The following is a 16,373-nucleotide window of genomic DNA, read 5'->3' on the forward strand; positions in this document are numbered from 1 at the left end:
TTTATCCCATGTACTGCTGACAGGATAATTTTCCTAAGCACAATACTGGTCATGATGAACTCCGCTGGTGGAACACGTTTAGTAGCTCCCCAGTTTTCTGTAGAATACATTCTAGATTCCTTAGGATGACATTTGAGACCTCATCTTCTCTTTTAATCTATAGTTTCCCTCTTCCTGCATGCTGCTGCATTCTAATAAATATTGTTGTTCCCCTTAACAAATGTGTTTTTCTGTGTCCATGATTTTGCTCTCACTCTTCTCTTTGCCAGGTTTGCCTTCTCTGTTGACATTTCCCCCTTGTCAGAATTTCTGCACGGGCTTTAAAACTTAGCTTAAAAGCTATTCTTCTCATTTCTTTTCAAATTCCCTCTCTAACCAGTTGAATTAAAATTTTCCACCGTGCTTCTGTAATCATTTGTGCCCTTATAATAGCAGTCATTATATTATGCCTTTTATTTAAGATGTTATGTCTTTTCCTTCTTGTTCCTAATTTTCTTAAAGACACTTATAGCATCTTACACATAGTGAGTACTTAGGAAATGAGAGCTGAGTTAAAGCCAGAGGAATGACTATGATTTGATAACTGTGTGTGTTGTTAAAAGCCTGTTATACAAAACCATGTCTTCAAGGAACTGCTTAATAGAAAGCGGAAGCCGTTCACTTCATTGGTCTGTGTGATAGCTGACTTCTCTGGGCTACCTTGACTCTCAGTTATCTTACTCTCAAACCTCAAAGCAGCTCTCTTCTTCCCTTGTTGATGGACAGATTTTTAGTAGGGCTTATTTAATTGTACAAGACCAGCCTGGCCAACATGGTGAAACTTTGTCTCTATTAAAAATACAAAAATTAACCAGGTGCGGTGGCACACGCCTGTAGTCCCAGCTACTTGGGAGGCTGAGGCAGGAGAATCACTTGAACCCAAGAGGTGGAGGTTGCAGTGAGCCAAGATCATGCCATTGCACTCGAGCTTGGGCAACAGAACGAGACTCCATCTCAAAAAAAAAAAATTAGTTGTAGAAGGATTCTCTAAGAATTACTGAGGGAAACGTGATTAATATTTCTTTGAAATACTACACTTTACATCTCTACCTCTTTATCAATTCAGGTCTCATCCGAATTGTGATAGAAATAGGCCAAAAATCACTAAAATGTTTTCCTCTCAGAGTATGCAAGTGGTTGTGCTTATTCTAAATGGCGTTGAATTCAATTGTTGCACAGTCAATAAAAGAATCTTTTTACGCGTCTTCAGTCATGAGGCTATCCCGTCTTCTAATTGTATTTTTTTTTTTTTGCATCAAACCAAATGGTGTATTGAATAAATGGTCTCCTTTGCTCTTCAGGTTATGGTGGAGAATTCAGACTTTACCCCCTCACAAGTAGGATGTCTCTTTACCTTCCTTGCTCGGCAGCTTGCAAAGCCTGACAACACCTTGTTTGTAAACAGAACACTTTTTGATCAGGTAAGTGTCTAGCAGTGAAAACTAAAAGGTTTTTTCCTGTTTACTGCGCACAGTTCCCTGGATTACACTGTTTCCTGATGTGACAGACTATTGGGTAAATACCTTATCAAGGAGAGGCCTGTTCAGGTTTTGGATCTAAGTTAGGGGGGTATGTGTATATGGGTGTATGGGTATGTTTTGTGGAGATTGGTTTACAGAGATTGTGTTCTCTCAATTATTCTGTTGCTCTGAATTGCCTAGAATTCGTTGCTCAAGAGTTTCCCAATTTAAGAATCTCCCCCATCTCACTGGTAGTAAGACTATTATGACCATCACCTGGAGAAAAGATTACTTTTGTACAATCTCAGTTTACTTACAAATGACTTTCAAGGTTTCTTGTAATCCCGCTTAAATAGCTATTTTTCCACAGGTGGCAAAGAAAATACTTTTTGTCTGGAGAAAGTAACTAAAAATGACTAACATTTTCTGAGTCTTCACAATGGCAGACATTGTTCCAAAGCTTTGTGTGTATGTTACCTTAGTCCTCTCAACAGCTCTAAAATAGGGACAGTTATCCTCCTTTTATAGATGAGGAAACTGAAGCCTGGAGAGATTAAGTAATTCATGTTAGGTCATACTTAGTGTGTTATTATTAGCAGTAAATATTAAGTCTTAATAGAGTTAGTATCCAAATTCAAGTGGCCTGACTCCTAAGCCCATGCTTTGCTAGGTCCATGGTATCGTATCAGGAAACTTAAAGTTAAGGTATATTGACAACACTGCCTTATAGTTATGTTTCTTTTCTCTCTCTATTTTTTTTTTTTTTTTTTTGAGACAGAGTCTGGCTCTGTCGCCTAGGCTGGAGTGCAGCAGCACGATCTTGGCTCACTGCAACCTTGGCCTCCTGGGTTCAAGTGATTGTCCTGCCTCAGCCTCCTAAGTAGCTGGGATTACAGGCACATACCACCACGCCCGGCTAATTTCTTGTATTTTTTGTAGAGATGGGGTTTCACCATGCTGGCCAGGCTGGTCTTGAACTCCTGACCTCAAGTGATCCGCCCTCCTCGGCCTCCCAAAGTGCTGGGATTACAGGTGTGAGCCACTGCGCCTAGCCTCTTAGAGTTATGTTGCCAGGCCGGATGCGATGGCTCACGCCTGTAATCCCAACACTTTGGGAGGCCGAGGCGGGCGGATCACGAGGTCAGGAGATCGAGACCATCCTGGCTAACACAGTGGAACCCCGTCTCTACTAAAAAAATACAAAAAATGAGCCGGGCGTGGTGGCGGGCACCTGTAGTCCCAGCTACTCGGGAGGCTGAGGCAGGAGAATCACTTGAACCCGGGAGGCAGAGCTTGCAGTGAACTGAGATCGCGCCACTGCACTCCAGCCTGGGCGACAGAGTGAGACTCTGTCTCAATAAATAAATAAATAAATAAATAAATAGTTAGCACACCTGCACCTGATGTTACATGTACTGGGTTAATCAGTTGGGAAGGTAGCCTACACCTGTGGTATTTGTTATGTCTGGGTGTGAATGAGTTGGTTATTTGAAAGGGTAGTTATTATTTTTATTATGAGAGTATTAATGTCTAGATGCTGATATCAAATAAAAAATACTTTTTCTTCGGCCAGGTCCTTGAATTCCTTTGTAGTCCTGACGATGACTCCCGACACTCTGAAAGACAGCAGGTATGAACTACTAGAACTCTTTTTGCTAAAAAATAGGAAAGAAGAGTAAGCCAGAAAGAATTCTTCTGTGCTAGACCTCACTACACATGAGGGGCAATTACTTGTGCCAAACCCTAATACGAAGTTAGAGTCAGTGGGAACCAGAAAATAGAGTGGATGATTGTTAGAGGTACATGTGTAAGAAGCTTATATCAAACTAAATTCCTAGGTAGACTGGATCTGTCTTGTATCTACCGTGACATCAAAGAAACTTCCCCTATTATATAGCAACAGCTAGGACTTCTTGTACCCTGCATTCCATTGGCATCATTAATCTGGTAACTACTGCTAGCTGCTGTGGTCCTGAAACAAAAAAGCTGCAGGGTCCTGAGTATTGACATACCTAATTTTTGAGAGTGCCCTAAAACCCCACTGCATTAGGGCTGACCATTCTGGAGACTAGAATCCACCTGTCCCTCCGCTAATTATCATGAGATAGTAACTGTTTGAGTACCACTTCTTTCTGTTCATGCCACTTTCTTGAGGTTGCCTTGAGGAGTAGGATTCTTTAAAAAGCATACCCACCATAATTGTGGGCACTAAGAGAGTCAACCCATTTTGTATTGATAGCCAGATTTTGTCAGGTAAGTAAACTACTAAAATTAAGTACCATGAGAGCTGTGCTGAAGTATGGCTTTATGGCACTGTGGTAATCATACGCAGCTGGGAAGTTGAGACTATCGGATAGCAACAGTGACCCCTTTATCCGCACAGCTATGGCCCAGTGACTGCTGCAGAGTATCCTAGGTAAAAGAACAGCTGGTAAAATTTTGGTTATCTCTTAAATTATATTGAATACAAATAGTATATGGGCCCCCTCATTTCAGCTGCTTAGTGTTGTAAAAATTAATTCTATGAGCTCCAATATTTTTGTTTGCTTTTTATTGTGGTAAAATAGACGTAACACATAATTTACCATTTTAACCATTTTTAAGTGTATACATCAGTGGTATTCACATTGTACAATCCTCATCACCATCCATCCCCAGAACTCTTTTATCTTCCCAAACTGAACTACCATACCAATTAAATCATAACTCCCACTCCCTGTTTTCTCCTCCCCAGCCCTTAGTAACTACCAGTCTCTATGAATTTTACTACCTTAGGTCCCTCACGTAAGTGCAGTCACAATACTCGTTCTTTTGTATTTAGCTTATTTCACTTGGCAGAATGTGTTCAAGGTTCATCCATGCCGCAGCATGCATGTATCAGGTTTTCTTCCTACTGAACAGTATTCCGTTGTATGCATATACTACATTTTGTTTATTCATTCATCCACTGAGGGCCATTTGGATTGTTTCCACCCTTTGGCTATTTTGAATAGTGCTGCTATGAAAAGCCCCAATACTTAATTTTTAAAAAATTAACATGTAAACATGGATACCAGCTGTGGATAGACAGATTGTAAAGAACCGTAAGACATAAAAGTGAGATAAAAATTCACTTCTTGAAAGATATATATGGACATTTTAGCTTAGCAGAGAGTCAGCTCAATGTCTAATAGGGCTTTATTTGTAAACACTGTGGCGTTCTTTCCATGTTTGGAAAGCAGAGCCATTTATCTTTTTATAGGGCTTAAATGCAGTATGATCAAGTTTATAATGTCAGTCTAACCCCTTCCATATGTGACAGCAAGCCAAAATATCATCAACTAAGAATACAAAAGAAAAAAATTAAATGTTATAGTCTGCATGGCTGAATGCACTCTTAAAGAGCTAGTAAATTCTCAAGTGTTTTTACTCATTTATTGTAAATACTCAGGTCCTTTTAGAATTGCTGCAGGCTGGAGGCATAGTTCAATTTGAAGAGAGTCGACTCATCCGGATGGCAGAAAAAGCTGAGTTGTAAGTTGTTTTGAGGCTGTATATTAGTTTGCCATAGAAATATTAAATTATATTTCTTTAACTTAAAGCTCAGTTTATTGATACATTGCTGCTTTTTTAATTAGGAAAGATTATACAAATAACAAAAAGCTAAGGGTGAAAATTTTTCCCTTTTAATTGAATTCTAGAAATTAGTAAAATTTGCAGAAATTGATAGGGCAGATATGAAACTTTTATATAATTGTTTAAACATAAAGTGAAATAGTCTTATGATGTTTTATTATTTTAGATTTTTTCTTTAATATTTCCATGTTTCATAAATTGTTGATGGTTATCTTAGATATATTAGAGACAATGCAGTATTTGACGTAGTAAATAAGATGATATGATCACATTGCTACTTACCTAGTATGCTGTATTTATATGACATGTAATTCTGAACAGAGGAACTTTATGTAAAATTTTTGTAAATTATCAATTAATATCTAACATATTCACTATTTCTTATGTGATACACTATTGTTTTAGTATTTCCTTTGTATTCAGCATTGAAATTTTTTATAAACATAATATTTAGCAGCCTCTTGAACCTATAGTTAAAGGTTAACGGCAAATACTCATCTCCCTTAGTTATTCACTGTAACTTTATTTAACAATAGAAATCACATCTACTATATTAATTTTTCTTTTTTTTCTTTTGAGACAAAGTCTCCCTCTGTTGACCAGGCTGGAGTGCAGTGGTGCGATCATAGCTCACTGTAGCCTTAACCTCCTGGTCTCAAGCAATCCTCCTGCCTCAGCTTCCGTAGTAGCTCAGATGACAGGCACATGCCACCATACCTGGCTTTTAGTTTTTTTGTAGAGACGGGGTCTTGCTATGCTGCCCAGGCTGATCTCAAACTCCTGGTCTCAAGCAGTCCTCTTGCCTCAGCCTCCCAAAGTGCTTGGATTATAAGCATGAGCCAGGACACCTGGCCCACTTTTCCTAATACTAACCTGTGTGCCAGAGCAAATGTCTCAAAAACCTCCCTGTTTGGTACACTGAAGTTTTTCCCTTTACATTCTAGCTATCAAATTTGTGAATTTATGTATGAAAGAGAACACCAATATGATAAAATTATTGATTGCTACTTACGTGACCCTCTGCGAGAGGTGAGTCAAGATACTGCTTTACTCTTTTTTCTTACTCAACTTTCCCTCTTATTGAGTACAAATAACTGTTGAGTAGAAATATTTGCGCATGTGTATGAGCCAAATACACATTGATAATTAAAACAGATACAGTTCTTGCAGTTTTGGAATGTATAATTTAGTGATGGAAACTGACAGTAAACAAAGTCAAATATGATTACAAATTGGGATAAATGCTAGGGAAGAGAAACCGAGTGCTACTTTAGAGGATGATGGGGAACTGACTTACACAGAGTAGCCAGGGAAGGAATTTCAGAGAAAGTGACATATAAACTGAGTTTTGGAATTTGAGAAGCCAGTGAAGGAAAGAGCCAAGAAGAGTGTTCCAGGATGGGTAACTGTATATGCAAGAGACCTGAGGTGGGGAAAATTGACATGTTCAAGGAGCTGAGTAGAGATCATATAGATGAAGTGAAAATCAGTATAGGTGGAGCATAATAGACAAGGGCAGGAGTGGTTTCTGCTGAAATTGGGAATGTGGACAATGGGATCCCCAAAAGCCAAAGTGTGATACTCCTTCATTAGGTCACTGAAGATTAATAAATTCAAACCAAAATTAATTAGAACTGATTTTTTGCTTCTAAGAGTCTACCCTAAATTTTAAACAATTACTCTTTATTTTTAGGGACAGAGTTTTCCATCAGTTAACTATCTCCAGATAATTTTTCATCTTCAGATAATAGATGTTTACCAAGACTGGTTCAGTTGGTAGGGACTAAATCTTGAGTGAGTGAATGAATAAATTATATTGTCTTGTGCTCTTCAGGAAGAAGTCTTTAATTACATTCACAATATCTTATCCATTCCCGGACACAGTGCAGAGGAGAAGCAGTCTGTATGGCAGAAAGCAATGGATCATATTGAGGTACTGATGCGCAAAACTTCACACTTCACCATCTGAACGATCATCTAACCCAAGTTAACTTTATGCCAACGAAGCAATGGCATGTATCATATTAAGTTGATTTAATTTAGGGTTGAAATCTTTTTCGTGTAATTATTCTACCTCATATTTGTATTCATAAAGTCTGTGTCACATGCAATCTATTACATCATGACTTCTGAAACTAGCCCATGTTCAATCAGCCAGTGACAAACTATTATTAATGCATTTTTACAAAGTTCATAGAATGATTCTGAGAGTACTGCTTGTCCTTTTTTCCTAATATGTGATGAGTGCCATTCCCTCCAATCATCTAATGGACTTTTAGAAAAATTACTGCAATGAGTTTTCTCTCTGATGTGTTTCTCTTCCTTATATAACAGGATGATGATTCTGACCTAGCTGTGGTCAGCTAATTCACTGATTTTGTTGATGCCTGCTATTTTACAGAGGATGCAAGTATTCACTTCTATTGAAACAAAAAGTTCCTATTAAGAAACAATGCTTCTAGATATACAAATAGACTACTTGCGTGATGAGGGCTGTGATCACAATGTGTTCTGAAATGGGACCCAAAAATCACTTCTTACTTTAGTTTCCTTATGTTCATAACATACTCCTTACCCCAGAATCCAACAGAACTAGCAGTTTTGTTGAAATCTCTTATTTTTATGTTTTATGTTATTTTATCTATTCTGTTTATTTCTGATGATTGAAAAAAAGTAGTAAGAAAAGAGGTAATCCTCTTTTGGAAATAACATTTAAACTGAGGTAATCCTACTTTTGGAAATAACATTTATATCTACAGAGTTGCTCTCATTCTTCTTATAGCAAGAGTCAGGTGGTGGATTTGGAGATGTAGTAAAGATACGATTATTCAACATGTTTGAACATTTTTTATAGATATGAAAAACTATAAGAAAGGATATGATGTGGATACTTTGTTTTAGTTCCCGAAGGTTGTAAAGTTTAGAAAGATCAGAGGTGTGAACAACATCTTCTTGTGAAATAACTGGCACGAAAGGTAGTATAGCCAGTCATGAGATATGTGGTCTGAAGTAATTTCCACACTGCTGTATATAGGATTGAGAACATGGAATATGTTATTTAGTGTTGTTATATTTCTGCTAACAACAAGATGAATATATCTTGGTAAAATAACCCAACAAGTCATTCTCTGATTTTGTGTTTTATATTTTTTCCCTTTAATCATTTAGTATTCTTTTTCATCCTCCTCTTTAAGTCTCCATGGTTATATTATGATTCAGTTCTCATTTCACCTCATCTGCATTATACAGTGGTTTGAGCACATGGATTCCAGACATCAAAAATGAAGCCACATCTCTGCATTATGTGAAATGTGATAAATTAATCAATGAGCAAACATTGCTCAGCAAAAAACTCAAGCTAGGGGAGCAAGAAGTATTTTTGCTACACAATAATTACTTTTGCTGACTAGTTTTTCCCACATCTGCATATTTTTTCACCTTGAACTTTTTAATCTCTTAAGGCCACAATGACAGGTGTATAAGCTTTTGTTGAAGGACTTCTGTGTCTTCAGTAATGTAAATATAATCAACATTAAATACATAGGACAAAAAGGCATCATAATGAAGTTTTCTGACAAGATACACTTAGTTTATAGCTTAGTGGTTCTTAACACTTTTTTTGAGACTCTAATGAAAGATTGATGCCTCGTAATATTGCACATGTACATAGATACATGATTCTGTTTAAAGTTTCAGGGATATACAGATCCCTGAAAGTCTTTCTTAGATGACCAATCTCTGGTTCAGATGGTTTTTTGAATATGAAAGATTTCATTAGATTGTGTTGACATGTTATATTTTGAAATTTATAAAGCATTCAAAAAAGTACATAAAACAAATGTATAGCTTAATTAAAAATGGAAAAGCAAACATCCTAGGTCCTCAACAAGAAATATGATATTTCCATACCTCCGACTTTTCCCACATATTCTTTTCTGATCACAGTTCTTTCTTCCCCCTTCCCCCACACAGCCATTATCCTGGTTTTTGTGACAGTTTCTTACCTTTTTGTATACTGTTACTGCATGTGCATGCATCCCTAAATATATGTTTTTGTTTTGCCTATTCTTGAACTTTGTGAAAATGAAATCATACTTTATTTTCTTATTTTTGCCCAGTATTTTGTTTGAGAAGATTTTACCTTTTGTTTTACATAGCTGCAGTTGATTTTTATTGTATAGTATTACATTTTATAAGTATATCACAGTTTATCCATTCTACTGCTGCTAGGCATTTCAGTTGTTTCTAGTTTTAACTATTAAGAACAGTCTGTTCACAATCATCCGTATATGTGCATCTTGAGCATAGCCACATACATTTCTCTAAGGCAGTGATTCTCAGTTTCATCCCCAAACCAACATCACAGCATCAGCTGAGAATTTGATAGAAATGCAAAGTTTGGACCTCCACCTCAGACCTCCTGAATCAGAAACTCTGGGGGTGAGGCCCAGCAATCCCCTACATTATTCTGATGTATGCTAACTCATAATCTCTGCTCTAGTGTATATAATTCCTAGTTAGTTGAGATTAATATTTTAAATTTCACTGGATGCCAGCACTGTATGAGAGTTCCTATGGACTCTATATCCTTGGCAGACTTTAAATCTTTCCCAATCTAGTGGATGTGTAATGATACCTAATTATGTTTTACATTTACCTTTCCTTAATTACTAATAAGACTGACAGCCTTTTCATATGTTTATTGGGCATTTAAATTTTCTCTTTTGTGAAGTGCCTGCTGAAGTTTTTTGCCCACTTTTCTGTTTGAAATGTCTCATACTTACTGTTTTGGAAGATTTCTTTATGTATTGTGGATGTTAGTCTTTTATCAGCAATATATATTGCAAATATCTTCTCCCATCTCCCATTCTGTGGCTTTTCCTTTCGATCTTTGTGTGTGTGTGTGTGTGTGTTTTTAAGTGGTCAAAATAATCATTTCCCCCCCTCTTTATGTCCTGCTTGCTTTCTTATTTCTTTTTAATCTTTGGCTCTGAGTTCCACCTGAAAGTAATTTTTGTGCATAGTATGAGATGGAAGTCGAGTTAAGTTTTTAGAATACAGATGCCCAATTTTCCCAGCAGCAATTATTTTTAAAGGTTGCTTTTTCCTGTTGCTCAGCAATGCTACCTTTGTGATGAGTATATCAAGGATCTATATGTGTAGTCTGTTTCTCTGGGCCTTCTGTTCCATTGGTCTGTTTGTCCATCTCTGCATCAGTACCACACTATATTTAATATTGTTGCTGTATAATGAGTCTTGATATCTTTAACAGAATCTTGGCTATTATTGACTTTTGATACTTCCAAATACATTTTAGAATCAACTTATCAAGTTCCACCAAAATTTTTTTAACTTCGTGATTATGACAGGCATTGCACTGAATCTATCAATAATTTTGAAGATAATTTGCAATCTTTACAATATTGAGTCTTCATATCTATGACTGTATGGTATAATCCTTTATTTAATATCTTCCTATAAAGTTTTATAGTGCTCTCTGTGGGGAATTTCCATCCTTTGTTTTTGTTTTGTTTTGTTTTGTTTTTTTTGAGACAGAGTCTCACTCACTGTGTCGCCCAGGCTGGAGTATAGTGGCACCATCTAGGTTCACTGCAACCTCAGCCTCCTGGGTTCAAATGATTCTCCCTCCTCATCCTCCCTAAGTAGCTGGGATTACAGATATGGCCACCACGCACAGCTTATTTTTATATTTTTAGTAGAGACAGGGTTTTGCCATGTTGGCCAGGCTAGTCTCAAACTCCTGACCTCAAATGATTCACCTACCTTGGCCTCCCAAAGTGCTAGGATTACAAGCATGAGCCACCACGCCCAGCCCCATCCTTTGTTATACTTACTGTCACAACTTCATATTTTTAATGCTGTTGTTAATGGCATTTTTAAAAATTTCATTTCCAACATAAGTATGTTTACTGTAAGGATTTTTATGGAAGTTTTCTTCTATTTCTACTATGCCAAGAGTTTCCTCATGAATGGATTTTGAATTTTATCATGTTTTCTTCCTTATTCTGTTTTTGTGTTAAATTTTATTGGTATTAAACCAACCTTGATTTTTGCAGATAAGTGCAGCTTGATCCTGATATATTATTTTTATACATTGCTGAATTTCATTTTTATTTAGGATGTTTATATCAATATTTGTGATTCAGATTGATCTGTAATTTTGTCCTATTGGGTTTAAGGTGTCAAAATGTTACTAGCCTCTTACAATGAGCTGAAGAATTTTTCTTTTTTCTATTCTCTGTTGTAAGAGGTTTAGTTAAGGCTGGAATTATTTCTTCCTTAAATGGTTGCTAGAACTTACCAGTGAGGCTATTTGACCCTACAGTTTTTCATATGGAAAGTTTTTAAACTACTCACTCAGTTATTTTAATGGTTAAAAATCAAATCAGGGTCAGACACGGTGGCTCATGCCTGTAATTCCAGCACTTTGGGAGGCCGAGGCAGGATGATCTCTTGATCCCAGGACTTCCAGACCAGCCTGGGCAACATAGCAAGACCCCGTCTCTACCAAAAAAAAAAATCAATTCAGGCTATTTCTTCTCAAGTCAGTTTATTAAATTATACTTTTTAGGAATTTATTTTGTCTGAATTTCCAAATTCTTGGCATAAATTCATTCATCGTAGCTTGTTTTTGAATGGCTACAGATCAGTAGTAGTGTCTCCTTTGTAATATTTAGTTATACCTTCTCACTCATCAGGAGTATTGCATTAAAGTTATGTAAACTACAGTTATTTGTGGCAGCTAATTATTATGAATCTACAAGTACTACCTAACACAATAATTAAGAGATACATTGTGAATGTTGCAGTCATAGTGGTTTGTCTGAGTTTTATTTAATAATACCTATTTTGGTCTACATTTGGTCTTTGTGTTTTAGCCGTGTATTGTGGTTGTGTTTGATCATAGTGTCCCCACAGAGAAGGTACAATTGGAAAGGTAGAATATTAGGTGACAGAAACCAAGTAAGAAGAGAGTTTTAAAAAGAAAAGGATAGTCAGTAGTGTCCAGGAAAGTCCAAGGGGAGGTCAAATTAAAAGTCTTATATTTGACAAATACATTTTATTAACAATGTTTAATTAAAAGTGGTCAACATTTTACTCTCATATAAAATTTAAGACCTGAAGTTTATTTCTTAAAATGCTTGCAGTTTCTAAATCCACTAGGCACCAGAAGTAAAGTTTTAAAATTCTCGGCCAGATAAATTACAACTATTCTTTCTCGTTTCTTCAAGTTATTACTTTAAGCTCCAGGGTGAAATGCATTGACAGGAAATTTGGGAAGCTTTTGCTCCTTCTGTTTCTCCTGCAGGTATCATGGCTGAAATCCAGAATTCTATAGTGCTTTCATTTTCTAAGAATTCTGAATTACCTTTCTTTAAATGAAATTTTGATTTTTTTTTTTACATGGCACATTTCTAATTTTGCTCATTTGCAAAGTGCGCTTTAAATTGAGGCCCTATATCAAGGTCTGCTGAAATGCAGCATGGAAGCTTGCGACTGTATTGAGGTAGGTAATCGTGCCTCACATCTGTGGATATGCTGTTTAAATGAGCCATTAGAGATGGCTTTGTCTTTTCCTTTAACTCCAGGAACTCGTGTCCCTGAAGCCTTGTAAAGCTGCGGAGCTGGTTGCCACCCACTTTTCTGGACATATTGAAACGGTCATTAAAAAACTTCAGGTACATATTGCAAATATATATTGGGGAAAAATATCTAGTGGAAAGACAATTATTAAATCGTCACCTAAGAAGTTTTGATTGTAGTGATTTCTTCAGTTGACATTTATTAGCAGTTTCTATTAGGTTGGTGCAAAAGTGATTGTGGTTTTTGCCATTTCTTTAATGGCACCAACCTAATACTGTGTGTGTGTGTGTGTGTGTGTGTGTGTGTGTGTGTGTGTGTGTGGTTGGGAGCAGTTGTATGATGATCTCTTAGTTTGGAAATGAGGGAGTTCATCTTTGTGCATACAAATATGAGCTTCAAAGAAGCATTTCTGGAACTATAATGTACTTATCCTAGAAATCCTAATCCACAGATCCTCCCTTCTCCCATTTTCTTTTGCTGTAGGATCCACAACCCCGTTTTCTTTTTTTTTTTTTGAGATGGAGTCTCGCTCTGTCACCCAGGCTGGAGTGCAGTGGTGTGATCTCCACTCATTGCGAGCTCCGCCTCCCGGGTTCAAGCCATTCTCCTGCCTCAGCCTCCTGAGTAGCTGGGACTACAGATGCCTGCCACCATGCCTGGCTAATTTTTTTGTGTTTTTAGTAGAGACAGGGTTTCACCATGTTACCAGGTTGGTCTTGATCTCCTGACCTCATGATCCGCCTGCCTCGGCCTCCCAAGGTGCTGGGATTACAGGCGTGAGCCACCACATCTGGGCCACAACCCTGTTTTCTTTGAGATTCATATTTATTCAAAACTTTGTCATCCTGAAATTGTGCTGTTTAGAATGTTTCTTGGAAAATCTTAACTGGAATACAGCTATATGCATGGTAAATATTGAGAAGCTCAGTTAGAAGTACTATTGAATGGACTGTTTAAGGTATTCCACTTACCACTTACCATGGCCGTGCTGATGTTGAGTTTGCTCCCTGTCATTGTAGCCACAAGTGATAGAGGCAGGGAATAGGACAATGACAGGGACATGAAGCACCACCCAGAGTCCTCAAGTGACATTAATAGTGGTTGGGAATAGCTGTGCAAGAAGGAAATCAGAGCAGTGAGTAGGAGGTAGCTGGCATGAGAGACAAAAATATGGAATTCATTCATTCGAACACTTAGTGCTGCTCTACTCTCTACCAGTGTGCTAGGCCCTAGGGACAGAAATAAGAATACAACCTTTTCTTAAATTTTTCCTCTAGAACAGAGAAGCACTTGCATAATTATAGTCCAGTGTTGAAAGAGCTACACTAGAGATATGTGAAAAGTACTGTAGGAACAAGAGAAGAGGGTGATGGATTGCGAGAAAGACAAGAATGCCCAGAGATCCCTAATCTGGTCTTGAATGCCTAATGTCAGATTTCCAAGCAGAGACTTGGGCAGGGCTTTCTTAATAAAAAGGTTCTGGGTATAAAAGCCTTGAAGGCATAAAGCAGCATGCATGTTCAGAGAACAGTCAGGTCTGTGTGAAGCATGACGTCAGCAGGGGGTGATGGTGGAAGTGGCATTAGGTTAAGCTACTAGTGATAGGCTGGAGGGGAGGAGCTAAACTAGAGGGGTTGCAAAATACAGCTTGGAGACAAATACGAAACGGTTTCACATGTGATGCTATGAAATTTAAACTGTCTTCTGTGTACTGAGAATTATTGAAGTTCTTTAAAGCTAAAGAGCAGTATCATTAGATCCATTTTACAGAAAATGAACTTCGGATAGCAGTGGGGAGAATGGACTGGAAAGGAGAGCAAATGGAGGAGAGAGAAGAAGGTCTAGGCAAAAGATGGAGAGGACTAGCACTAAGTCAGTGGCAGTTGGAGAGGACAGATTTAGGACATTTTTGTGAAGTAAAATGTATAGGATCTGGAAATCAGTTGAATGTGATGGGAGGAGTTAAAAACAACTCCCAGATATCAGGCTTGGTTGTCCAGCATGATAATGATGAGGTCCATTAACTCAAGAAAAAGACTCACCGATTAATTCAATAAATACCTGCTCTGGGCCAAAAACATTAAGTGCTGAGGATACAAAAACATGTAAGTGTGATCCTGCTCTCTAGGAAGAAGACAAATAAGCCAAAAGACAATTACAGACTAGCTTGATTGGAATGCTAATGGAGCCCAGGATACTGAAGTAGTACACGGAAGGACATGAAATCCAGTCTAGTGAGGGAGGGTAGGAGGAGGTTTCTACCAAAACTACTCTCAACCTCCAGAGCTTCTCTCCCCTTTAAAAGTCAGCACTTCTGGTAAATTTTGCCTGTGGTGGTGGCTGTGTTGTCATTGTCCTTTAAGATTTAAAATGATCACTTGTAGGATTTTCTTTTCTTTTCTTTTTTTCTTTTTTTTTTTTTGTAGTCTCTACGGATATTAAGAGACAGGCCCAGTAGGTGAATATAATGTCATTCATCAGACAAATATATAAAAGTAAAGTATGGGCGGGGCACAGTGGCTCACACCTATAATCCTAGCATTTTGCAAGGCCCAGGCGGGCAGATCGCTTGAGCTCAGGAGCTCAAGACCAGCCTGGGCAACATGGTGAAACCCCATCTCTACAAAAAAATCCAGAAAATTAGCTGGACATGGTGGTGGGTGCCTTTTGTCCCAGCTGTACGGGAGGCTGAGGTGGGATGATCACCTGAACCCAGGAGGTTGAGGCCGCAGTGAGCTGTGATCATGTCAGTGCACTCCAGCCTGGGTGACAGAGTGAGACCCTGTCTCAAAAAAAAAAAAAAAAAAAGGTCTGTTTGTGGAGTCTTAGACATTTCTTTTAAAGAAATGAAGTATTTACTTTATTGCATAGCTTTATAAATTGTGCAAGAATCCCACATAGATCTTACAAAGTACCTTTACTTTTGATGGCAAGAAATATGCCTCTGACCAATTGTTTTCAGAATTCTTAAAATGAAAAATTGCCAGAATGTTATGTTATAACTGAGAAGAAAGTCATGTAAAATAACACAAAGTGATAGTGAAAAAATAGAAAATCAGACTGATAAAAATAAATATATTTTTAAATCATATTTTATATTAATCTTTTTCATCTTTAAGAGTCCCCCATTTTTTACAGATAAAGTGTGAATTTGTCAAAAAATAAAAAAACAAAGAAAAACTAAACAATAACAATTTTTGCATAGGTTTCCCAAGAATTTAGAAATATTCATATTTTTGTAGTATTTGAAGGTTTATCTCATTTAACCCTCACTACTACCCAATGTGGAAGGCAGAGAAGATATTGCTGTCCTCTTTTTTTTTTTTTTTTTCCACATAAGGAAATTGAATTGCTCAGAGGATAAGTAACTTACAGAAAGTCACGTAAGTGAGTAAATGGCAAAAACAGAACCCAGATTTTATGGCATGTTGATTGCTAACATGTTGCAGTTTGATTGGCATCTCTTCTGTAGTTGTTGATATTCATGAACTTTTTTGGTGGTGGTTGTTAACTTGGACCTCAAACTCCCACCCTCCCTGGATGAACTATCTCACAGCAACCCATTGCCACAGGAGGACCAGGTTAAGGCAAGGTGAAACTGATCAGTGCATCCAGAGCTCAGCATCCACAGAGCAGTTCCAAGCACCTGCCACT

General features: G+C 37.5%; 1 protein-coding gene across 25 annotated transcripts in view; it reads left to right on the forward strand.

The window, feature by feature from the left end:
* Positions 1-16,373, forward strand: part of VPS8 (VPS8 subunit of CORVET complex) — a 240,449-nt gene that overhangs the window by 111,356 nt on the left and 112,720 nt on the right. For 23 of the 25 annotated variants that reach the window (NR_146113.2, XM_047447824.1, XM_024453426.2 and 20 more), the window contains 6 exons: positions 1,341-1,460; positions 3,073-3,129; positions 4,930-5,012; positions 6,059-6,143; positions 6,949-7,047; positions 12,725-12,814. Coding sequence is in view for 22 of the 25 variants with exons in the window: in XM_047447824.1 (XP_047303780.1) it covers positions 1,341-1,460; positions 3,073-3,129; positions 4,930-5,012; positions 6,059-6,143; positions 6,949-7,047; positions 12,725-12,814 (534 nt within the window). In the remaining 3 variants the exon portion in view is untranslated. Of the gene's footprint in view, positions 1-1,340; positions 1,461-3,072; positions 3,130-4,929; positions 5,013-6,058; positions 6,144-6,948; positions 7,048-12,724; positions 12,815-16,373 lie in introns of those variants that run through there. The other 2 variants (XM_017006041.3, XM_047447828.1) reach the window with 1 other exon arrangement.

The sequence above is a fragment of the Homo sapiens genome, chromosome 3 (genome assembly GCF_000001405.40).
Source record: "Homo sapiens chromosome 3, GRCh38.p14 Primary Assembly".
In the NCBI taxonomy this organism is placed as follows: Eukaryota; Metazoa; Chordata; class Mammalia; order Primates; family Hominidae; genus Homo; species Homo sapiens.